Raw genomic sequence first — 25,637 nt, 5'->3', positions numbered from 1 at the left:
CCTACGTAACAAACCTGCACATTAGGCACATGTATCCCAGAACTTAAAGTATAATTTAAAAAAAAGAAAGGAAAAAAACCAAAAAACCAACTACAGCCTCAACATCAACACCATCCTTTTGTTTATAACATAAATGATTTCCCTCAAGACCTCATTCTTGGTTTTGCATTACAGACTCCAGACCTTTGCTACAAGGTGGAGCTCATTAAACCATGCTTTGCTCCACTAGTAATTATGATTTTCTCATCTGGGCACCAACTCTCTTATAATAATGTCATTACCATAATGCAGGGTTCCTACAGATAGAGCAGCTAACAGCTTGAGAGTGCCCAGTGTGGCCTTGACAAAAACCTTTAACTCTGTTTGTTCCTATTTCTAGTATGTCCTGGTCCTCCCTCATTCCACTCTTGTGGTTGGTTCCATTCTCCATCTCTCCTTGTCTTGTCCCTGCTTCTCTTTTCTGTGTGGCTGACCATGGGAGTGGCTCTTGAATTTGCTACTTTTTTTCTGCAGATTTCTACCATCTCACTTTTGATTCCTTTCCCCCTCATACAAAAGATCCCCACTCTAAGCAATTTTTCCCAATAAATCATAACAACTACTATAATTAGTATAAGTGTATACAATTTATACAATTGAATGAGTGTTTTGTTTGTGCCTAGCACAAAGCTAAATGCTCTACGTACTTTCCCATTACCATTTAATTTTCACAACAGTCACATGGGCTCATTATTGTCCCTATTTGAAAGAAGAGAAAATCAAAGCTCGTAAATGTTTGTTTCTGGCCCAGGGTGTAAAGAAAAGAGAACCCAGGTCCGCTGTTGGTGGGAATGTAAATTGGAATAGCCTTTATGAAAAAAAGGGATGGAGGCTCCTCAAAAAAGTAAAAATAGTTCAGGTATGGTGGCTCATGCCTATAATCCCAGCACTTTGAGAAGCTGAGGCTGGTGGATCACTCAAGGACAGGAGTTCAAGACCAGCCTGGCCAACACAGTGAAACCCTGTCTCTACTAAAAATAAAAAATTAGCCGGGCATGGTGGTAGATGGCTGTAATACCAGCTACTCGGGAGGCCTAGGCCTGAGAATAGCTTGAACCTGTGAGCTGAGATCACACCACTGCCCTCCAGCCTGGGCAAGAAAGCAATACGATCACCAAAAAAAAAAAAATTAAAAACAGAACTAACATATGATGCAGCAAATCCACTTCTGGGTATACATTTTAAAAACTGTGGATGCTCTTCCTTTCTGTTTGTTAGTTTTCCTTCTAACAGTCAGACCCCTCAGCTGCAGGTCTGTTGGAATTTGCTGGAGATCCACTCCAGACCCTGTTTGCCTGGGTATCACCAGTGGAGGCTGCAAAACAGCAAATATTGCTGCCTGATCCTTCCTCTGGAAGCTTCATCCCAGAAGGGCACCTCCCTGTATGAGGTATCTGTCGGCCTCTATAGGGAGATGTCTCCCAGTCAGGCTACACGGGGGTCAGGGACCCACTTGAGGAGGCAGTCTGTCCATTCTCGGAGCTCAAACGCCATGCTGAGAGAACCACTGCTCTCTTCAGAGCTGTTAGACCAGGGATGTTTAAGTCTGCAGAAGCTGTCTGCTGCCTTTTGTTCTACTATGACCTACCCCCAGAGGTGGAATCTACAGAGGCAGTAGGCCTTGCTGAGCTGCAGTGGGCTCCGCCCAGTCAGGGCTTCCTGGCCACTTTGTTTACACTGTAAGCTACACAAGCCTCAGCAATGGCAGGTGCCCCTCCTCCACGTCAAGCTGCAGCATTGCAGGTGGATCTCAGACTGCTGCGCTAGCAGTGAGCAAGTCTCCATGGGCGTGGGACCCACTGAGCCAGGCAGTGGAGGTTATCTCCTGGCTTGCCGGTTGCTAAGACTGTGGGCAAAGCACAGTATTAGGTCAAGGGTGTACAGTTTCTCCAGGTACAGTCTGTCACGGCTTCCCATGGCTAGTAAAGGGAAATCCCCCGACCCCTTGCACTTCCCAGGTCAGGCGACACCCTGCCCTGCTTCAGCTCTCCCTTCATGGGCTGCACCTACTGTCCAACCAGTCCCAATGAGATGAACCAGGTACCTCAGTTGGAAATGCAAAAATCACTCGTCTTCTGCGTCAACCTCACTGACAACTGCAGACTGGAGCTGTTCCTATTCGGCCATCAACGAAAAGGACATCCACACCAAAACCCCATCTGTAGGTCACCAACATCAAAGACCAAAGGTAGATAAAACCACAAAGATGGGGACAAACCAGAGAAGCAGAGAAGCAGGAAAGCTGAAAATTCCAAAAAACAGAGCACCTCTTCTCCTCCGAAGGATCGCAGCTCCTCGCCAGCAAGGGGACAAAACTGGACGGAGAATGAGTTTGAAAAGTTGACAGAAGTAGGCTTCAGAAGGTCAGTAATAACAAACTTTTCTGAGCTAAAGGAGCAAGTTCTAACAAATTGCAAGCAAGCTGAAAACCTTGCAAAAAGGTTAGACAAATGGCTAACTAGAATAAACAGCACAGAGAAGATGTTAAATGACCTGACGGAGCTGAAAACCATGGCACAAGAGCTTTGTGACGCATGCACAAGCTTCAGTAGCCGATTTGATCAAGTGGAAGAAAGGATATCAGTGACTGAAGATCAACTTAATGAAATAAAGCATGAAGACAAGATTAGAGAGAAAAGAGTGAAAAGAAGAGAACAAAGCCTCCAAGATATATGGGACTATGTGAAAAGACCAAATCTACGTTTGACTGGAGTATCAGAAAGTGACAGGGAGAATGGAACCAAGTTAGAAAACACTCTTCAGGATATTAACCAGGAGAACGTCCCTAACCTAGCACGGCAGGCCAACTTTCAAATTCAAGAAATACAGAGAACACCACAAAGATATTCCTCAAGAAGAGCAACCCCAAGACACATAATCGTCAGATTCACCAAGGTTGAAATGAAGGAAAAAATGTTAAAAGCAGTCAAAGAGAAAGGTCGGGTTACCCACAAAGGGAAGCCCATCAGGCTAACAGCATCTCTCTGCAGAAACCCTAAAAGCCAGAAGAAAGTGGGGGCCAATATTCAACATTCTTAAAAGAATTTTCAATCAAGAATCTCATATCCAGCCAAACTAAACTTCATAAGTGAAGGACAAATAAAACCCTTTACAGACAAGCAAATGCTGAGAGATTTTGTCACCACCAGGCTTGCCTTACAAGAGCTGCTGAAGGAAGCACTAAATATGGTAAGGAACAACTGATACCAGCCACTGTAAAAACACACCAAATGGTAAAGATCATCAATGCTGTGAACAAACGGTATCAATTAATGGGCAAAATAACCAGCTAATATCATAAAGACAGGATCAAATTCAAACATAACAATATTAACCTTAAATGTAAATGGGCCAAATGCTCCAATTAAAAGACACAGACTGGCAAATAGGAAAAGAGTCAAGACCCATTGGCGTGCTGTATTCAGGAGACCCATCTCATGTGCAAAGATGTACATAGGCTCAAAATAAAAGGATGGAGGAAGATCTCCCAAGCAAATGGAAAGCAAAAAAATAATAATAATAAAAAAAGCAGGGGTTGCAATCCTAGTCTCTGATAAAACAGACTTTAAACCAACAAAGATCAAAAGAGACAAAGAAGGCCAGGTAATGGTAAAGGGATAAATTCAACAAGAAGAGCTAACTATCCTAAATATATATGCATCCAATACAGGAGCACCAAGATTCATAAAGCAAGTCCTAGAGACCTACAAAGAGACTTAGACTCCCACACAATAATAATGGGAGACTTTAACACCCCACTGTCAATATTAGACAGATCAATGAGACAGAAGGTTAAAAAGGATATCCAGGAATTGAACTCAGCTCTGAACCAAGCAGACCTAATAGACATCTACGGAACTCTCCACCCCAAATCAAGAGAATATACATTCTTCACAGCACCACATCGCACTTATTCTAAAATTGACCACATAATTGGTAGTAAAACACTCCTCAGCAAATGTAAAAGAACAGAAATCACAACAAACTGTCTCTCAAACCGCAGTGCAATCAAGCTAGAACTCAGGATTAAGAAACTCACTCAAAACCGCACAACTGCATGGAAACAGAACAACCTGCTCCTGAATGACTACTGGGTATATAACGAAATTAAGGCAGAAATAAAGATGTTCTTTGAAACCAATGAGAACAAAGACACAACGTACCAGAATCTCTGGGACACATTTAAAGCAGTGTGTAAAGGGAAATTTATAGCACTAAATGCCCACAAGAGAAGGCAGGAAAGATCTAAATTTGACACCCTAACATCACAATCAAAAGAACTAGAGAAGCAAGAGCAAACAAATTCAAAAGCTAGCAGAAGGCAAGAAATAACTAAGATCAGAGCAGAACTGAAAGAGATAGAGACACAGAAAACCCTTGAAAAAAAAAATCAATGAATCCAGGAGCCAGTTTTTTGAAGATCAACAAAATAGGTAGACTGCTAGCAAGACTAATAAAGAAGAAAAGAGAGAAGAATCAAATAGATGCAATAAAAAATGACAAAGGGGATATCACCACCAATCCCATAGAAATGCAAACTACCATCAGAGAATATTATAAACACCTCTATGCAAATAAACTAGAAAATACAGAAGAAATGGATAAATTCCTGGACACAAACACCCTCCCAAGACTAAACCAGGAAGAAGTTGAATCTCTGAATAGACCAATAAGAGCTTCTGAAATTGAGGCAATAATTAATAGCCTACCAACCAAAAAAAGTCCAGGACCAGATAGATTCACAGCCGAATTCTACCAGAGGTACAAAGACGAGCTGGTACCATTCCTTCAGAAACTATTCCAATCAATAGAAGAAGAGGGAATCCTCCCTAACTCACTTTATGAGGCTAGCATCATCCTGATAATAACAATAATAATAATAATAAAGCCTGGTAGAGACACAATTAAAAAAAAGAGAATTTTAGGCCAATATCCCTGATGAACGTCAATGGAAAAATCCTCAATAAAATACTGGCAAACTGAATGCAGCACCACATCAAACAGCGTATCCACCATGATCAATTCGACTTCCTACCTGAGATGGAAGGCTGGTTCAACGTACGCAAATCAATAAATGTAATCCATCACATAAACAGAAGCGAAGACAAAAACCACGCGATTATCACAATAGATGCAGAAAAGGCCTTCGACAATATTCAACAGCCCTTCATGCTAAAAACTCTGAATAATCTCAAAATAATAAGAGTTATTTATGACAAACCCACAGCCAATATCATACTGAATGGGCAAAAACTGGAAGCATTCCCTATGAAAACCAGCACAAGAAAGGATGCCCTCTCTCACCACTCCTATTCAACATAGTGTTGGAAGTTCTGGCTAGGGCAATAAGGCAAGAGAAAGAAATAAAGGGTATTCCATTAGGAAAAGAGGAAATCCAATTGTCTCTGTTTGCAGATGACATGATTGTACATTTAGAAAACCCCATTGTCTCAGCCCAAAATCTCCTTAAACTAATAAGCAACTTCAGCAGTCTTCAAGGAGAACTGCAAACAACTGCTCAGCGAAATAAGAGGACACAAACAAATGGAAGAACATTCCACGCTCATGGATAGGAAGAATCAATATTGTGAAAATGTCCAAACTGCCCAAAGTAATTTATAGATTCAATGCTATCCCCATCAAGCTACCACCGACTTTCACCACAGAATTGGAAAAACCTACTTTAAAGTTCATATGGAACTGAAAAAGAGCCCGCATTGCCAAGACAATCCTAAGCCAAAAGAATAAAGCTGGAGGCATCATGCTACCTCATTTCAAACTATACTACAAGGCTACAGTAACCAAAACAGCATAGTACTGGTACCAAAACAGATATATAGACCAATGGAACAGAACAGAGGCCTCAGAAATAGCACCACACATCTACAACCATCTGATCTTTGACAAACCTGACAAAAACAAGCAATGGGGAAAGGATTCCCTATTTAATAAATGGTGCTGAGAAAACTGGCTAGCCATATGTAGAAAACTGAAACTGGATCCCTTCCCTACACCTTATACAAAAATTAACTCAAGATGGATTAAAGACTTAAATGTCAGACCTAACACCATACAAACTCTGGAAGAAAAGCTAGGCAATAGCATTCAGGACATAGGCAAGAGCAAAGACTTCATGACTAAAACACCAAAAGCAATGGCAACAAAAGCCTAAATTGACAAATGGGATCTAATTAAACTAAAGAGCTTCTGCACAGCAAAAGAAACTATCATCAGAGTAAACAGGCAACCTACAGAATAGGAGAAAATTTTTGCAATCTACCCATCTGACAAAGGGTTAATATCCAGCATCTACAAGGAACTTAAACAAATTCACAAGAAAAAAACAACCCCATCAAAAAGTGGGCAAAGAATATGAACAGACACTTCTCAAAAGAAAACATTTCTGCAGCCAACAGACACATGAAAAAATGCTCATCATCACTGGTCATCAGAGAAATGCAAATCAAAACCACAATAAGATACCATCTTACACCAGTTAGAATGGCGATCATTAAAAAGTCAGGAAACAACAGATGCTGGAGAGGATGTGGAGAAATAGGAACACTTTTACACTGTTGATGGGACTGTAAACTAGTTCAACCATTGTGGAAGTCAGTGTGGCGATTCCTCAAGGATCTAGAATTAGAAATACCATTTGACCCAGCCAACCCATTACTGGGTATATACCCAAAGGATTATAAATCATGCTGCTATAAAGACACATGCACATGTATGTTTATTGCAGCACTATTCATAATAGCCAAGAGTTGGAACCAACCCAAATGTCCATCAATGATAGACTGGATAAAGAAAATGTGGCACATATACACCATGGAATATTATGCAGCCATGAAAAAGGATGAGTTCATGTCCTTTGCAGGGACATGGATGAAGCTGGAAACCATCATTCTCAGCAAACTATCACAAGGACAGAAAACCAAACACCGCACGTTCCCACTCACAGGTGGGAGGTGAACAACAAGAACACATGGACACAGGGAGGGTAATATCATACACTGGGGCCTGTCAAGGGTTAGGAGGCTGGTGGAGGGATAGCATTAGGAGAAATACCTAATGTAAATGATGAGTTGATGGGTGCAGCAAACCAACATGGCACATGTATACCTATGTAACAAACCTGCACTTTATGCACATGTACCCTAGAACTTAAATTAAAAAAAAAAACTGAAAACAGAATCAAAATTACAGGAAAGAAAAATCACTACCTCAAAGAGATATCTGCATCTCCGTGTTCATTTCAGGATTATTCACAATAGCAAAGCTATAAAAAATAACCTAAATGTTCATTAATAGATGAATGAATAAAGAAAAGGTGGTGTATATACATAATGAATAACGTGGTGTATATACACAAAAGAAGGAAATCCTGCTGTTTGCATATCATGGGTGAACATGGAGGACATTATACTAAGTGAAATAAGCAAGACACAGAAAAACATATTATATAATCTTACTTATATGTGAAATCTAAAATAAACTCACAGAAGTACCGAGTATGCTGGACACAGTGGCTCACGCCTATAATCCTAGCACTTTGGGAGGCCAAGGTGGGTGGATCCCTTGAGGCCAAGAGTTCCAGACCAGCCTGGCCAACATGAAAAAACCCCATCTCTACTAAAAATACAAAAATTAACCAAGCGTGGTCACGTGTACCGGTAATCCCAGCTACACTTTGGAGGCTGAGGCATGAGAATTGCTTAAACCCAGGAGGCGGAGGTAGCAGTAAGCTGAAATCGCACCACCGCATTCCAGCCTGGGCAACAAAGCAAGATTCTGCCTAAAAAAAAAAAAAGAAAAGAAAAGTACAGAATAGAATGGTGGTTGCCAGGGGATGGAGGGAGGGGGAAACAAGGACAGGATGCTCAAAGGGACCAAATTTTAGGTGTGCAGGATGAGTACGTTCTGGAGATCTACTACACAGCAGTGCCTGTAGCTGACAATACTGCCTTGTATACTTAAAATCTGCTAAAAGGGTGGACCTTATGTTCAGTGGTCTTTCCACAAAAACATATTATAATTATGTTACTATAACTTAAATCATAATAATAAAGTGAGTAGAAGGAAACTCTGGGAGATGATAGATGTGTTCACAGCCTTGATGGTGATAATGGTTTCATGGGCATTTAGTTATCCCCAGACTCATGGAGTTACGCACATAGGATACACAGCTTTTCATATGTCAACCATACCTCAACAATGTAGTTTAAAGGAAAAAGTCACTTTCCCAACATCTGTTTGACTCCAAGACCAGAGCTCTTCACCAATTCTACACTGCCCACAGCAGCCCTCAGTCCAGCATTTTGTGTGATTTTTTTTTTCCCTTTGCAACAATAACATTACATCAAAGGCATACCTAAAAGTGATGTAACTGCAATACTTTCGGAAGACTGTTTATATTAAACACACACAAATCAGAAAATAATTTTTAAGTGTGTCCTGATGTATGATTTTTTAAATGTATAAAAATCATGAATCGGGACACAAATAAATAAATAAGGTTAAGATGGGTAGAAAAATGGTGGTGGTACATAGTCAATCTTCAAGAATTATTTGTTCATTTATGTACAGCTTTCATGCAGAGTAGCTCATGTTCCACAATGTCAGTTTCATAATAATTTTCTTTTTACCAACACGATCGGTTTTATTTAGAGGCAGACACTATCTACTACTATGCGGCAGAATGGATACAGGACTCTGAAGGATACCAAAAATTTTCCCATTTAAAACACCTCATATTTCACCACTTGAAGGTAATATTCTTTGGGGCTGACCTCTTTTTTTTTTTTTTGAGATGGAGTCTTGCTATGTCACCCAGGTTTGAGTGCTATGGCGTCATCTCGGTTCACTGCAACCTCCGCCTCCCGAGTTCAAGCAATTCTCCTGCCTCAGCCTCCCAAGTAGCTGGGATTACAGTCATCTGCCACCATGCCCAGCTAATTTTTGTATTTTGGTAGAGATGGGGTTTCACCATGTTGGCCAGGCTGGTCTCAAACTCCTGACAGGTGATCCACCCACCTCAGCCTCCCAAAGTGCTGGGATTACTGGCATGAGCCATCACACTCAGCCAGGGCTGACCTCTTTTAAAATATATATTTATTCACAGGGAAAAATAACCTTAAGCCACTAATAGCTTAGTGTGAATAAATATTCCAAGTGCTTCCTGAGAAAAGAAACTAGAATAGAAGGAACAAGCACTGTTAGTTCTTTAGGCAGACAGACAGAGCCCTGATCTGGAGGAGGTTACCCAAAAAGGATGGTAGATGGGTCAAGACTAATTTTGGCCTGAATTCAGGGCCATTGTGTTGGCCTGAATCAGTGCTTCTTTCTAATGTGAAACAGCTATGCTGTGTAAGAATAGGTTTCATTGAAAAAAAAAAAAAGATGACAAGACAACAACAACAAAAAAACCACTGCTCATAATCCTAGCCTTTGGGGCCTACCTTGCCCTAATGAATACATACAAAAAATAAAACTGAAAGATTGCATAGAAAAATGCTATGCTTGATCAGTTGCAACTATCCAACAACTTGCTTTAAAAGTAGAAGCATCCAAGTATTTTTTGTTGTTGTTGAATCAAAGGAATGAGGTGCTTTCATCCTAATTGAAATTATACATCCTTTGCATTCATAAAACTTCGGTAACAATTTGAACTGCCAAGGTCTTTAATAATGAGATTATTTGCCTTTCAGAATTGACAGTTATGTTAAAAATCCCACTTCTTTCATCCAGAGTTGAGTGCTGCACATTCAACCTGAATCTTTTTACTAAACATATGGAGTATTTCATAAGTTTAAAAAGGAGAGAAAGCTTTCAAAAGTATTTTTTCCTCCTTAGCTTCCTAAAAAAGTCAGTCTATTTTTTAAAGTATCTAAAGAGTCTTATTTCACTATTTTTGAGTATAATGTTCAAAAATATTAGATAGCCGAAAGACTCAGAGAATCCAATGTGTTCTTTTCTGTTCCAGCTAACGTCAATTAACACCAAAGTTATTACAATCGTTTGAACTAAATCACTGAAACTAAACATTAAATTTAGACATCAACAAATTATGTAGATCAAGGTGGTTCCCCTTTAACAGCTCAACAATTTAAATTCCTTCCCAAATAGAGACAATACTTCTGGACAAGTCATTACACATTACACTTTAATGAGACGCCAAATCCTACTTTAAAATAAGTCTTGATGTACCTGCCATGCTCACTTCTTTGATAGAGGAAACTCATTCAAATGATGTATGAAAAAAACTTTAAAATGCTACCCAACCATAAAGTGATATAATTTATTGTAATATTCAAAGTAAACTTTTCATTTCTACTTTTAAAAATACCTAATTATAATGCCTTAGTGTCCCGATTTTATTGTGTGGTAGACTGCTTCATATTCTACAGTCTTACAGTGTCAAATAAACCTCTGCCTCTTCCTGACTTTTTTTATGAATTAATGTACATCCTGAATCTGTATTAGAATATGTTATCTTTTTGAGAAAATTGTCATACTTTATTAAAGTCTTAACTGCCAGGAAGCAAGGTAGAAAAGCATAAGTAGAGGACCCAAAGCTTTAAAAAAATTCTAAGAAGACAAATAATAGTTAACACTTATAAGTTGATCACTGCTTTCTGAGCTCTTTACACACTAAGTCCTTTAATCCTTACAATGACCCTGTAAGTGCTGTTTACACAGGAATTAAAGAAACTGAGGTACTGAGAGGTTAAATAACATCCTAAGTATCTTACCTTTAGTAACTTGCTGTGATAGTTAATACAGAATGTCAACTTGATTGGATTGAAGGATACAAAGTACTGATCCTGGGTGTGTCTGTGAGGGTGTTGTCAAAGGAGATTAACATTTGAGTCAGTGGGCTGGGAAAGGCAGACCCACCTTTAATCTGGGTGGATGCAACCTTAACCAGCTGCCAGTGTGGCTAGAATATGAGCAGGCAGAAAAATGTAAAGAGAGACTGGCCTAGCCTCCCAGCCTGCACCTTTCTTCCGTGCTGGATGCTTCCTGCTCTCAAACACCAGACTCCAAGTTCTTCAGTTTTAGAACTCGGACTGGCTCTCCTTGCTCCTCAGCCTGTAGACAGCCTATCATGGGACCTTGTGATCATGTGTGTTAGTACTTAATTAACTCACCTTTTTATATATATCTATTAGTTCTGTCCCTCTAGAGAACCCTAATACTCTTGGCTATGTCCATTTACACACTAGTAATGGGCATAGGCAAGTTATTAAAAGTAAGGTATTTAGGAATATGTATGTTTAGTAACATGTCCATTTACTTATTGATATGCTTAGTAATATGTCCATTTACTAATGTGTAAATGGACATAGGCAAGTCATTAAAGGTAAGATTGGATAATCAAGCAATGTTACCTATATTTAAAAATAGGGAAGACAACCGTGTTTGCCCTTGGTTCCTCTGTCAACAAACTCCAAGTCTGCAGAAACTTGGGGCTATTATATTCTTATTAAAAGTAACTTACTTGTCATTCTTAGATGCAAAGAAGGAATGACAGCAAGAGTCTTGCTTTGTTTTTATGAGGAGAGGACCCATGAACAGAAGCATCTCTTGAAAAGATTAAGGCTAGTTATTTACATTAATGGCAATTATATTAATAAATCATCCAATACCAATCTTTTATAAGCTACTTAGAAAATCAGTTTTGAGTTAGTGAGAGAGGAAGTAGCAAAGGCCTTCCATCAGAAAGAGGAAATGGGGGTGAATTTGTAAGCATGTGCATGTATATGGGAGTCAGGGCAGGGTCTTAAATAATCACAGATCAGTAGGAAGGCTTTGGGTTAGAGTAATAGGGTGTCATTTAGAAGGAGGACACAGAATAAAGAAAAAAAGATGACAAATGTAATTATGCTGCAGTTTGGCCATGGGCCCTGATGATAGCTAAATTCACCCAGGCAGACATGGGTGAGTTACACAGCGCATGGGAACTCTGTACTCTATAACCAAGAATTGTAAAAGAAAAGCCAAAGACAGTCATAGTTATGTGGATCTATCCGATTGTTTTACAGAGCCTTTGTGGAGTTGGTCTAAAGTTGTGATTTGAGGACACAGTCCTCTAGACTGCCAGGCCAGCCCTAGACTCCTGATACCTACAGCAAGGGGTTAGAGCCCAGCTAGGAAGGTAGAGGGGAGAGTCCACAAAAGACTCCTAAGACTACTCTCACTTCTGACACCAACCGCAAGTTCAGGGGTTTCTCGAAAACCACCCTCTGGTTCAATAATTCTCCAGGACTCACAAAACTCCCTGAAAACAATTATATACATGGTTATGGTTTATTATAGGGAAAGGATACAAATTAAAATCAGCCAAAGGAAGAGGGCAGAATCTGAGAGGGCACCAAACATGAAGCTTCCACTGTGCTCAGGACATTACCCTCTCGGCATCAATGTGTGACAATACGCATGAAATTGTCAGCCAGGGATGCTCATCTGAGTTTCTATGTTCAAAGTTTTTATTGGGGCTTGTATTCATTTCCTAAGGCTGCCATAAAAAAAAATACCATAAATTGGGTGGCTTAAAACAACTCAATGTTTTTGTCCCACTGCTCTAGAGGATGGACAACTGAAATCAACGTGTCAGCAGGGCCTCACTCCCTCTGAAACCTGTAGGGACAATCCCTCTTTGCCTCTTCTAGTTTCTGGTGTTTGTCTGCATTCCTCATCGCAGCTACATCCATTCCCATCTCTGCCTCCATCGCCACATGACATTCTCCTTCCACGTGTCTCTCTCCTCTTTTCATAAGGACACCAGTCATATTGGATGGTGGATGGCTTCATCTTAATGAATTACATCCACAATGACCCTATTTCCAAAGGTCACATTCCATGATACTGGAGTTTAAGACTTCAACATATCTTTTGGGGGGCGCATGATTCAACCCATAAAAGGCTTCCCTTACATAGGCTTGATTGACTGATGGCCCACATGGCTGATATCACTTTCCAGGTTGATAGTGTGGCCCTAAACCCCTACCCTAGATCACATGGTTAATCTTTCTGGTGTGTCCAGCCATTGTCCAAAACAAAGACACTCCTATCAGATATGACATAGGTTGCCTTCGAGAAGCTGAGGACAAAGTCCAGAGCTCTTTTTGAGCAAGGCAAATTCTTTACTACACAAAGCCTTAATAATTTTACACTGATTCATCTTAAAGCTGTGTTTTAGAATATCAGAAGTAAAAAAGATTATAATAGATATGTACAGATGATTAAGATGACAATATTACATATAGTATTCAGTGGCAGTGGTAGAAATGATGTCAGCTTTCTTAGTCAAATAAGCTTTAAAACTTTGATTAAAAATTCACTGATATTTTAAACAGAGTTCAGATATTTTGAGATACAAAAACTAGAAATAATTTTATTGTTTAAGTGACAAGAAAATAGCAGTGAAGTCAAGGAGAATATACATTTACATACATCATTTGAGAGAAAATCTTCCTAGTTATTTTTATAGCAATTACTGTGACATTTCCTATACAAAATTAAAACATGTAAACCCTCTTATATCCCAATTTCACAATCTTCATGATCACAAGTTGGTTTGAGGCCCTTAAGAAGCCATCCTGACCTCAATATCCTCTCCAATACGGCTCAATACCAAAGACTGCTCCACATTTGGAGTACCATCACTTTATCAAAAGAGGGGTGAACAGGTGTTGATGATGCTAGCACCTGTGATTGTCACAAATGTAATAAGAAGAAAATGTAAAGAATTTTAAAGTAGAGAAAATGCAAAACAGTGTCCTCAGAATTTAGGATCTAAAACAGCTGGTTATCTATTTGAACGAGTCTCTACAGAATGTTCCTTGAGAATGAGGAATATGTTGTTAAATGTACATGAGGCCAACCATATTCAAGCTGAATCCATAGAAACATGGTCAAATGGGGGAGGTGAAAAGCCCTCTCTTTAACTCAGGCAAAACAAATCTGACCAGGAGAAAAAAAAGAAAAAAAAAGCATTTTCCAGAAATTAAGTTTGGGGTTTCCTTCAGAAAGACAAATGAATCTAGAAATATTCTAATTCTCTATTCTTCCCTCTTCCCCCACTTAGTCCATTTGTGCAGTTATAAAAAATACTATAGACTCATTAATTTATAAAGAATAGAAGTTTACATCTCACACTTCTGGAGGCTGAGAAGTCAAAGATCCAGATGCCAACGTTTGGTGCCTGGCGAGGGCCCATTCTCTGTTTCCAAGATGGCGCCTTGTTGCTGTATGCTCAGGAAGGGATGAATTCTGTGTCCTCACATGGTGGAAGAGACGGAAGGGCAGGAACAGGTTCCCTTTGATCTTGAGCCCAGTTATAAAGGTGCTAGTCACATTTATGAGGGTGAAGCCCTAATAACTTAATCACCTCCCAAAGGACACACCTCTACAGATTGTTACATTGGGGATTAAGTTTCAACATGAATTTTGGAGGGGACAGCATTATTCAAACCGTAGCACCCATCCTGAACCTTATTGGGCCCTCTGAGCGTCAGACCACCTCACCTTGTTAACAAGTGCTGTCATTCTACACTGCTCAGGTTTCTAAGAAGAAACACAGGTCTAGCATTATAACCTGCTTCCAGTTCAGCAGACTGGAGATCTCCATGCAAGCAAGCTGAATCTTTTGAGAGTGAAAAATATAGAGAGTTAGAGTATGTCTTCAACTTGCTTCTGTTACTGGATCACTAAAATGCCCTTTGTCTGGCTGATTCTTCCCCTCTCAGATCTCAGTCACTCTAAGTACCTTCTCTGACTCATGAGTTAAGCCCCAACCCCATGACATTCTGAGCTCTTATCCTCCCTGTAGTATTCCATTCATCAGGCTTACCTATCTGCATCGCAACTGGCTGTTTTCTTATCTGCCTCTCCAGTAGACACCAACCTAGGTAAGGCAGAGGCTATACCTAACCTGATCCTCACTGTGTCTTCAGTATCTAATACCATGCTTGGCAGCACATAGTACTCAAGAGATGTCTGTAGAATGAAATAGAATAGAGCAACATGGAAAGAATTTCAATGGAACGAAATGGCATGGAGTGGAATGGAATGATGTAGTCCCATGACTCCCCCTCTTAGTAATTTTTCTATCTAGAACTGAACCCCTAACCTATGAAGACTACCTTGGGCAAAGAAGCAGTTTCAACAGAACAAGCTAACAACAATTAAGAAGTGTGATAGCAGACCTGAAGTGATATAATCAACCACGCAATATGGAAAGCAAACAAGCTCAAGAACAATATTGCTTCTACCAGAGATGGTTGGCTTTGAGCATCACTAAGGTAGACAAGCAATACAGTAGATCCCATGGTTTACTCAGGTAATTAGAGATGCATTTCCTTTATTCTACCTAAAAAAAAAAAAACTCTCTCTCAGATTCTGTCTACATATTAATACTTTCCAAGTTCACACCACTTAGCCCCCAATGCATTTTCACCTTCCCCAGAATACACCAGCTTGCTATGCCGTCTAGATGGAGAATTATTCCTGGATTTCTACAATTATTTATTGAGTTCCCAAGAGTTAGAGGGCCCATGCCACTGTAAGACAAAATTTAGGAGCACAGACTTGAGTTGGAGAGAAAAGGATTTGAATGCTGGTTCTAGCACTAACTAGCTCAGTGTCCCTAAGGTAATTATTGAATCTCTCTGCACCTCAGTTTTCTCATCTATAAAATGGGACTAGTAATTCTTACCTCACAGACAAGGCCTCAATTTATTGCTAGGATGTTTTGCAGCCCTGTTTATAGAGGTATGGGGAATAACAAGTGAAATGCAAAATGCCTCCCTCAAAGTTAGTACCCTGAAGTGCTAGCTAATATCACACCAAGGCGAATCAGATATGGATCCTGTCCTCAAGGAGCTTAAAGTCAAGAATGGAAAATTACGCATGCATACATAGGAAATAAACCACATAACACAATTGTCAGTGCAGACAAGGGACAACTGAGCCTGGAAAGAATCCAACTGTTTCTAGCTACTGCCTGGTAACTTCTCATTCGTCTTGTGAAACATTTCTGAGACATGTCATATTGAAAGAAAATAAAGACCAGTATGGGGGTTACTAAAATCAAAGGTTAAAATCCAAGAGGCCAAAATTAATACTTGTGAATCTCTACACTTATGCAAAGTTCTTCAAAATGCAGATGCCTGAGCACTATATGGCTCATTCTGATGTCCACAAATCAGCCGCAGATGCAGAAGTAGTAGCGTGACTATAGTTTGATTAAAATGTAATTTATTCTTATTGAGGGCCTTTTCTGTGCCTCACTCAGTGGAGAGCTCTCTACCCATCAGGATTATTACTCTCCTAATGAACCCAGTAGAGCATGAAGAGGAACCAGTTAAGTCAGGATGGTCAGCTTAGAAACGTGACGGCCTAATCCAGCTTGGGAACAACATTCCCAACTCTCCTGGAGGGAAGAGCTCTAATTAATGATAGCAGGGCACATTGCCTACTCCAAGATAAAGCTTGGCTTTAAACTCCAGCCCATGGAATCAGACTCTTTCAACTTTTTAATATACGGATTTTAAGACTTAGTTCAGCAAAAGAAGGAAGGATATTCTCTATTTCCATTCTCCTCAGCATGTAACTTCATATGCATTACTGAAATATAAGTAACACTTTTAATTGCATGACAAAAATATTCCATGCAGCAACTGCTCTTAATAATATACTTACCATTGCTCGTTTCATTACCTGATAATTACCAGATCATTAGAGCAATAATATATCCTTGTGGGATAAACTTATGGCAGTAATTTTAGAGAAAAGAATAGAAAATCTCTCTTAAAGTTGCCAGCCAGTAGGCAATGTGCAGAATTAGCTACTGAACTAAATGAATAGAAAAGTACTTTCTAAAAGTAAACAGCAGTATAATGACATTTATAGCTAATTCTGGATCATGAAATCAAAAAGAAAATGGCTGGAAGTTCCAACCCTCTCATTTTACAGGTAAGGACAATGAGGCAGTGAAGTTGAATTGCCCCCACAGGCTAATTGTGCCAATGGGAGCAGAGTCTGGACAAGAATGGGTCTCTCATCCCCAATTTCAAAGCTCCTCCTTTTTTATCACAGCATCCTCTAAATGCAATATACACTTGGTTTTTAAAATCCGGATGAACTGAAATATTTGGAGAATACAAAGAGCTAGTTAATTGGATTTTCGAGTTAAACTGAGTTCAGACCAAAAACTAATCTTTTCTAACTCACAATTTTTACAGGGGTTGAAGAGGCAAGATCTCAATGTCAAGTCTCTCTCACCCTGGTTCCAATTATCCAGCCCAGGACACATTTTCTCCAATCCACTTGGACAACTTCTCATCAGCCTACAGATGGCAGCTTAAGAACCCCTTCCTCGGCCAGGCCTTGTCTATCTTCAGACTAGGTGAACTGTTCAACTGTGTGGGACTATAGTTCTGTCTCCTGTGATAAAATCACATCATTATTTGTAACTAACCACTTCATATTTGTTTCTCCCCACTAGAGCATTAGTTCTCAAACTTAACCATATTTTATAATCGCCTGGATTGCTTGTGAAACTACACATCACTGGGCCTCACCCCTGGAGTTTCTGATTCAGGTCTGAAGTGGGTCCTGAGAATTTGTAGTCCTAACAAGTTCCCAAGTGGTGCTAGTGTTACAGACACCACACACCTTGAAAACCACTAAGCTTCTGGGCACAGTGGCTCACACCTGTAATCCCAGCACTCTGGGAGGCCGAGGCAGGTGGATCACCTGAGGTCAGGAGCTTGAGACCAGCCTGGCCTACATGGCAAAACCCCGCTTCTACTAAAAATACAAAAATTAGGCAGGCGTGGTGGCAGGTGCCTGTAATCCCAGCTACTCCAGAGGCTGAGGCAAGAGAATTGCTTTAAACCCAAGAGGCGGAGGTGGCGACAAGAGTGAACCTCCAGCTAGAAGGAAGGAAAGAAGAAAGAAAAAGAAAAGGAAAGGAAAGGAAAGGAAAGGAAAGGAAAGGAAAGGAAAGGAAAAGAAAAGAAAAGAAAAGAGAAAAGAAAAGTAAAGAAAAGAAAAGAAAGCACTAAGCTAGACTATGAAACTCATGAAGCAAGGGGCAAAGTCTGTCTTATTCATCATTCTATCCCTAGTGTCTAGCACAGTGCCTGGCACACAGTGAGTTCCCAAAAACTAGATGATAAATGAAAGATTTTCCTGAGACAAAAAGTTACAACTCCAAATATCTAGAGTATAACATTAAGGGAAGCTTGGTGAAGGATATACAGGAACCCTGTAGCATCTTTGCAATTTTTCTATAAATCTAAAGGTATTCCAAAAATAAAAGTTTTATACACACACACACATATATCCATGTTCAGGTATGACCTTAAGATATACCCTGCATGTTTCTTTTTTTAGTCAATTTCTAATAGAAGTTGATAGAAACTTTTTTTGCTCTTCTCCTCTTGCTGGGAAACACTATCTAGTCCTAGGTAATTGAGCATTCAGGGTTGGCTGGCTTCTAGTAAATAGCTGCATCAGGTTTTTACCTGTAATTGTAGCAGACCCCTCTGACTTCAGCTCCCCTGGACCAAATGAAGAACAGATGTGCACCTGGATGATGCTTTCCATTATTCAGTGGAAGTATCCTAATCATCAGTAAATTACTTCCTGAGTGCCCTTTGTGAGCATGCAGGGCCCGTCTTATACAAAAAGCTGAGATAGCAACTGCCTGTTGGAGGGATGATTTACAGGCTCTAGGAAACCTTCTTGGCCCCCAAATATTCCTTACTGCTTCTCCCCTCCAACCTGCCACTGGGCTAGGATTTCCAGCAGGAGAGAGACGACCTTTAGGTTTCAAGCCTTGCCTCTCCGTAAGTCCTCTGTTAAAATGCCAATGTAGTAGCACTTTCAAACATTATCCATCATTTTACCCCTAGATAGGATTCATTTATCAGACTGCTTCCCAGTTTGACAGCCAGCCACAGGAGCCACAAAAAAAGTCATGCTTGGGAAGGGAGCACGAAAGAGCAGACCTCTGGGTCTAGAACCTCAGGGCAGGGGACACACAGGAGAACTGGGTTTCTGGAAGAGAGGTTGGCCAAAGGTCTTGGAAGGGAAGGAAGGAAGCGGCTAAATGATGTACACCTGGGTGTTAGCCAGCCCTAGGATTCACTGTGCATTTTCAGTGGATCTCATTTACAGAAAAGATATGACCCTTGCCTTCAACCTAGACAAAAGCCAAAGTCCAAAGATAATAACACATAATACTAATTACAGAGTGCCAGAGTCTGTGCTGGATACTTAATACATTCATTCATTTAGCACTGTGAGGGAGCTATGGATCTGATTAGATCCTCCTAAGACCTTGGGTGATAGTTGTTATTGTCCCCTTTTATCACTAAGAAACTGAAGCTCAGAAATGTCCAAGCTCCCACATTAGGTAAGAGGCAGAGCTGGGGTTTATCACTATACACTATGTTCTTTTCTTTGCTATGCTACCTATAATGAAAAAGGGTCAGCATTAATAATGTGAATTATTATTGCATTGCTAATAATTAATGCTAATAATGCATAATTATTACCATTAATAATGATAATAATAAGGGGCATGGTTTGTCCAAACCTGCCTCTTCTGGCTGTAGTACCTTTGGAAAGTGAGTAGCCATTGCCGAGCCTAGAAAGCAGAGCACCTGCTCCAGGCTAAGCACAACTTCAATGTTTGCTACTATTAACATTACTATTATTTTCTTTTTATGCCAAAAATAACATTAAAAAAGAAGTTATTTTTAAATGTATTCCTGTTCTTGGAACAAAGGGTAGAGAGATAAGGAAGAAAAAGCTACTAAACTAGTATAAACAGGTAAAACAAAACCATTACAGAGGGTGATACATTCTAGGAAGGAAATATACAGGATACATGATGAACAGTTGTGGAGATTGGGAAAGGCATTTTAGGAAAGGTGATTAGGGCAGGTCTCTGAGGAGCTGATGTTTAGGTCAAAATGTGACTAAGTTGGTAGCCATACAAAGACTATAAGAAAGGGCATGCCAGGCAAAGGGATGTAAGCACAAAGGCCAAGAGGTGTAAAAGGGCTTGACTTGTTTGAGGAATAGAAGGAAGACATAGCTTGGCTTGAGCCCAGTGAGCCAGGAGAGTGATAGAGTGACAGTTGGAAAGGTAGAAGAAAGCCAGATGACGCAGCTTGCTTTGGGTCCTGGTGAAAAGTCTGAATATTATCCAAAACACAAAAGATAATGGAAAGTTTTAAGCAGGTAAGTGATATAATCTGATTTGATTTGGGTTTCATTTTTTAAATCCCTTTGGCTGTTCTGTGGAAAATGAAGTATGGCCAAGAATAAAAGTACAGAGATCAGTTACAGATGCTTGACAATAGTTAGGTGAAACATGGTGATGATGTTGACTAGAGAGGTGAAAGTGGAGATGATTAGATGGAAAAATTTGCAATACATTTAGGAGATAACCCAAAGGACTTGGATTCAGTGTGGCCCATGAGAGAAAAGGGAACATTCAGTTCTGGCCTAGCGCCTAGAATGCTGGTTAGAGAAACTAGGTCAGCATACAGAGAAAAGGAGGTTTGGGAAGAAAAATAAATTGTTGAGAATTTTGAGAAAAATAAAATGTTGAGAAATCATGTTGAATACTTCATACATGAGCAGGGGACAGGGTCAATGACACACACATGTCAATCATCAGCATTCAGATGTTCTTAAAGCCATGGGTCTGGGTAAGAAACCTAGACGGAGTATTGAGAGAGAGGTAAAAAGGGCTCAGGACAAAACCCAGAGGAGTCTCATCACTCCGAGGAAGGAAATCCAGTACAGAATAAGGAGGAATGACCCAAAGAAAATGGCATTGCAGAGATGAAGGCAGGAGGAAGGTCAAAGATGATGAGTAGTCACTACAATGAAGACAGAAAAGGACCTCTTAAACTTGACCACGTGAAGGTTGTTAAAAACAAGACCAGTTTTATTGGCTTGATGAAAACAAAAACCTAATTGGAGCAAGTTGTGGAGAGATTTGGAGATAAGGAACAAGAAACAGCAAGTGTGGGCAACACTTACACATTTTTTGCTGTGAAGGGAAGAAGAAGAGGAGGATATCAGCTGGAGGAGGATCTGGCACCTGAAGAGAGCTGTTTATTTATAAGAGATACCTAGCGCTCATTCATATATCTGGGTTAACAAGCCAGCAGACAGAAAAGAAGTGATACCAAAGAGGAAGAGACCTGCAGGAGCAAAGACCTTGCAAGGGCTAAAGGCTGGACCCTAAAGCATCGAAGAAGAGGTTGGCTTTTGACAGCAGCAGGGACACTCCTCCTAGGGAGCACAGGAAGACAGAGTAGGGGGTACAGCTGCAGATGAGTCTAGAGAGTAGGCAATGGGGCCATAAGGGGTTCCACTGGCCTTTCAAGTAGTCTCAGTTTTGGTATTCTTAAGATGAAATGACTGTATAAACTAGGATCTCCAAACAGAAACAGAAGTATTGTTTCTATCTATAGAATAACTTAAAGGTCAAATAATCCAAAGCCTTCCTTCCACAGAAAAGGTTGAAGCAGTTCAGTGACTGGCTGCTAGGACACAGCTTCTTAGTAACAACTATGAGGCTAGAAACCAGTCTATCAGGATCTCAACCTTTTTGCAAAACAACAAAATTTTCTACTGTCTACCTTGTACTTTCATAGACTGAGATTTTCTCTCAGTACATGGGCAAACAGATAACATACCATCTTATATTCCTTGATTTTTTTTTCCCCACCCATCTGCTGGCTATAGATAGTCACAGAGTTAACAGTTAACCTTTTTCCAAAAACTCACCCATGAAGCTGGGGGTGGAGCTTTTGGAGATAGATGGAAACAAAAGCAATGAACCCACACCAGGTCTCAATTAACATTTCCAGGCTACCACTGCAATAAAGGGCAATTTGGTGTTTGTGGAGCTGTTTCCATTAAAATACTCTCACAGCCTCTTCATATACTTCTTAATTACGATGCTGAAAACATTTGGCTTGAGGAAGAAAGTGCACTGGGAAACTTAAGTCAATATGAAAAAGAGGCAAAGTCTGACACCAGAAAAATGGTCTGTTGACTTAATTTGGGGACATTTTCCCCCTCAATAACGAAGCAGACCAACCTAGCAAGTTGACTAGCTGGAGCGAAAATGCAGAATTTGACACTTTTATACCCAGAGTTTCTTTTATTGTTAAAGCTTTTTCTTTTTATATACTTAGGGTGCACAAGTACAGGTTTCTTACATGCATATACTGCATCAATATTGTAACCAATAGGTAATTTTTCAACCCTCATCCCCCTCCCACCCTTCTACCTTTTGGAGTCTCCATTGTCATTTTTCCACTGTGTATGACCATGTGCACCCACTGTTTAGCTCCCACTTATAAGTGAGAACATGCCATACTCACAGTTGGACATGACATCTGGCATAGAGAAGAGCTCAAAAAACATTTGCTATTATGCTGAGTGAAAAAAAAAAAAAGCCAGATTCAAAAGGTTACTTCTTGTACAGATCTATTTATATAACATTCACAAAATGACAAAATTACAAAGATGGAGAAGTGATTTGAGATAGCCTGGGATTAGGGATGGAGACTGGGCTCCAACAACCGAAGAGTAGCTGAAGGCCATTCTCACATGGTGAGGGAAAAGTGCTGTACCTTGATTGTGATGGTGGTGATGTGGGTGATGTGAATCTATACATTTGATAAAATTGAATACAACTACACACACATGCACTCCCACAAAGTAGTCCATGTAAAAACTGGGAAAAGATTAATACATTCTGTAGATTGGACAAATGCCACTTTCTTAGTTTTGAAATTGTACTGTAGTTATGCCAGATGTTATACTGGGGGTGGGGAGAAATCACAAGCAGCCCAAAGCCCTGAGACTGGAAGGGACCCTTACCTTGGAGGTGGGTGAGAACTTACAGAGAGCTCTCACCCTTGCCCCTAGCCTCTGCACATGCACAGCTGTCATTCAGTGAAAAGGTCAGAAGAGGAGGGTAGAGAGGAAGCTGAAGAGCAATCCCACCCCCCCACCTCCCCCCGCCCCCCGCCCCAGCCAATCCACATCACACTTGCTCTGCAAAGAGCTCCAGGTAGAAACAGACTCAATGTGTCAGACTAGACTGGACCACACAGCCTCCTTGCCCAGGTAAAATGGATGCCAGGCGGAAGAATAACTCACAAACAGGATCTTTTATAATAAAAAGAGCAGTGGAAGCTTAGGAGAACACTTTAAATATATTGGAAATACAATTTATGAGCAAAAGTAGCCATGCCTAGGAGGACTGAAGCCACCTGTAATGCTAATTGTGTTGTTTTTCTGGATGCTAGTTTCCTACCACAATTCTGTGTGTAATTGCTCTTGTAATCTCAAATTTTTAGTTTTCACTAACTGGTTTGGAGAATCACATCTTTTTTCCCAACTTGTCTCTCATGATACTTCCTACAAAGTTCTAAGTAGACAGTCACTACACGCTTGCAGATTTATTTCATTTGTGTTAATGCATTCTTCATTACCATAAAAGTGTATTGATTATTGACAACCTTATTGAGTTACACTGTTCATACTTCCAGGGCCCATCTCCACACCAGAATAGCTTTACCTTTCAAAACATGCCCCTGTCCCAGGATTATGGACACTGAAAATATTCCAAGACTGAAATGAGGCTCCAAATTCCCTAGCCTATTCATCATGGAGCTTGTTCATTCATGGCTGACCTGTCTTTTGATACCTTATACCTTTGGACTTGGTTTGAACCTCCCATTCCTTTGGACTACTGTTTTTGTCTTTTTAGAGACAGGGTCTCACTTTTGCCCAGGCTGGACTCAAACTCCTGGGCACAAGCGATTCTCCTGCCTTAGCCTCCCAAGTAGCTGGGAATATACGCACGCACCACTACTCCTAGTTTAGATTATTTTTTAACCTGTCATTACGAGAGGCCTTCAACTCCTTCACCTATACATTTGCTTCATTTCCCCCTTGAATCTAAAACAAAGATAAAACGTCATCTGATGCCTTTATCCTCGTTCTAGGCAAAGAATTGGGGTTCAGTAGATTCTTATTAATAGACTGCCTCATGCCTCGCTGAGTGATCTCTTTCTTCTGCCCAATGATTGTGTCTTTATACATTTCTGTGGACAAGTTCTTGTCCTTTTTATATCCTTCATTTGGTTCTTCTTTAAAAATTAAGAAGTAAGACCAGACACAGTGGCTTGCACCTATAGTCCTAGCTACTCAGAAGGCTGAGGCAACAGGATCACTTGAGCTTAGGAGTTCAAGGTTACAGTAAGGTATGATCACACCACTGCACTCTTGCCTGGATAACAGAGCAAGACCCTGTCTCTTAAAAAATAATAAAAATAAGCAACCAAGTAAAAGATAAAAATTCTTCACCCTTTTTTTCTAGGTAGGTAGGAAATAATGTGGTCTAAGAGGTTGAAATGAAAAATTGGACTTCAAAGGAAAAAGAATAATCTGAAATTTAACTGGGTCAAAAAAATGTTAGATTAGCAGAAGCTGGGTAAAGTGTCTTCAGTTTTTCACTGTACTATTTTTTTCAATTTCTTGTGAGTCCATAATTATTTCATGATAAAGAGTTTTAAAGAATAACTGGATTTAATTATATGTATACATTGCCTGATTTCTTTTAACTGCTATCCTCATAAAAATTCTGTTAGCCATTTTAACCCTACCCATTTAACAACTGGGGAAACTGAGTCTGAAGTGTTTTGTGGTGGTTAATAGAGGAATCTCTGGAGCCAAAGTACCTGGGTTCTAATTCCACAGTCACTTAATAGCTATTTAACTGTAAGCAAGTGACTTTTTCTGTGCCTCAGTTTCCTCACCAATAAAATAGGAGATATCACATATTCACTTCAAGGCACAGGGGCTAGAATATTGTAATTAATAAATGCTAGCGGTTATTGCCGTAATCAAAATTCACCCAGAGAAGTGGCAGAGCTGAAATTCAAATGTAGGTCTGTCTAGTTCCTAAGACTTCCTCTTAATTACCATAAAATATTGCCTTCTGTGTGAGTGGCAAACAAAGAAATAAATGAACACAGCTATTCAATGCTTCATCCCCTCTCCCCTGTGCACACACACCCACCTTACATCTATGAATCTTAGCTCTGTATTAGTTTACTATGGCTGTTGTCACAACATAAACTGGGTGGCTGAAAAGAAACTTATTGTCTCTCAGTTCCAAAGTCCAGAAACCTAAAATCAAGAAGTGAGCGGGGGTCAGGCATGGTGGCTCATGCCTGTAATCCCAGCACTTTGGGAGGCCAAAGTGGGCAGATCACCTGAGGTCAGGAGTTCAAGCCCAGACTGACCAACATGAAAACCCCGTGTCTACTAAAAATGCAAAATTAGTTGGGTCTTGTGGCAGATGCCCATAATCCCAGCTACTCGGGAGGCTGAGGCAGGAGAATTGCTTGAACCCAGGAGGCAGAGGTTGCAGTGAGCCGAAACTGCACCATTGCACTTTAGCCTGGGTGACAGCAAGACTCTGTCTCAGAAAAAAAAAAAAAAAAAAAAAAGTAAGCAGGGCCCCTCTCCCTCTGAAA

General features: G+C 40.2%; 1 pseudogene, besides 1 other annotated feature; it reads right to left on the bottom strand.

Moving 5' to 3' along the window:
- LOC124906205 (UPF0764 protein C16orf89-like) overlaps positions 1 to 25,637 on the bottom strand; it is a 79,830-nt pseudogene that overhangs the window by 7,663 nt on the left and 46,530 nt on the right.
- Positions 1,766 to 1,885: an enhancer, noted in NCBI's record as "active region_19385". NCBI's record gives its function as "activates an Ori minimal core promoter by ATAC-STARR-seq in GM12878 lymphoblastoid cells {active_cell/tissue: GM12878}" and the evidence as "EXISTENCE:reporter gene assay evidence [ECO:0000049][PMID:35858748]".

The sequence above is a fragment of the Homo sapiens genome, chromosome 3 (assembly GCF_000001405.40).
Source record: "Homo sapiens chromosome 3, GRCh38.p14 Primary Assembly".
NCBI lineage: Eukaryota > Metazoa > Chordata > Mammalia > Primates > Hominidae > Homo > Homo sapiens.
The sequence above is the reverse complement of the archived record's forward strand: the minus strand, read 5'-3'. Positions and strand labels throughout refer to the sequence as shown.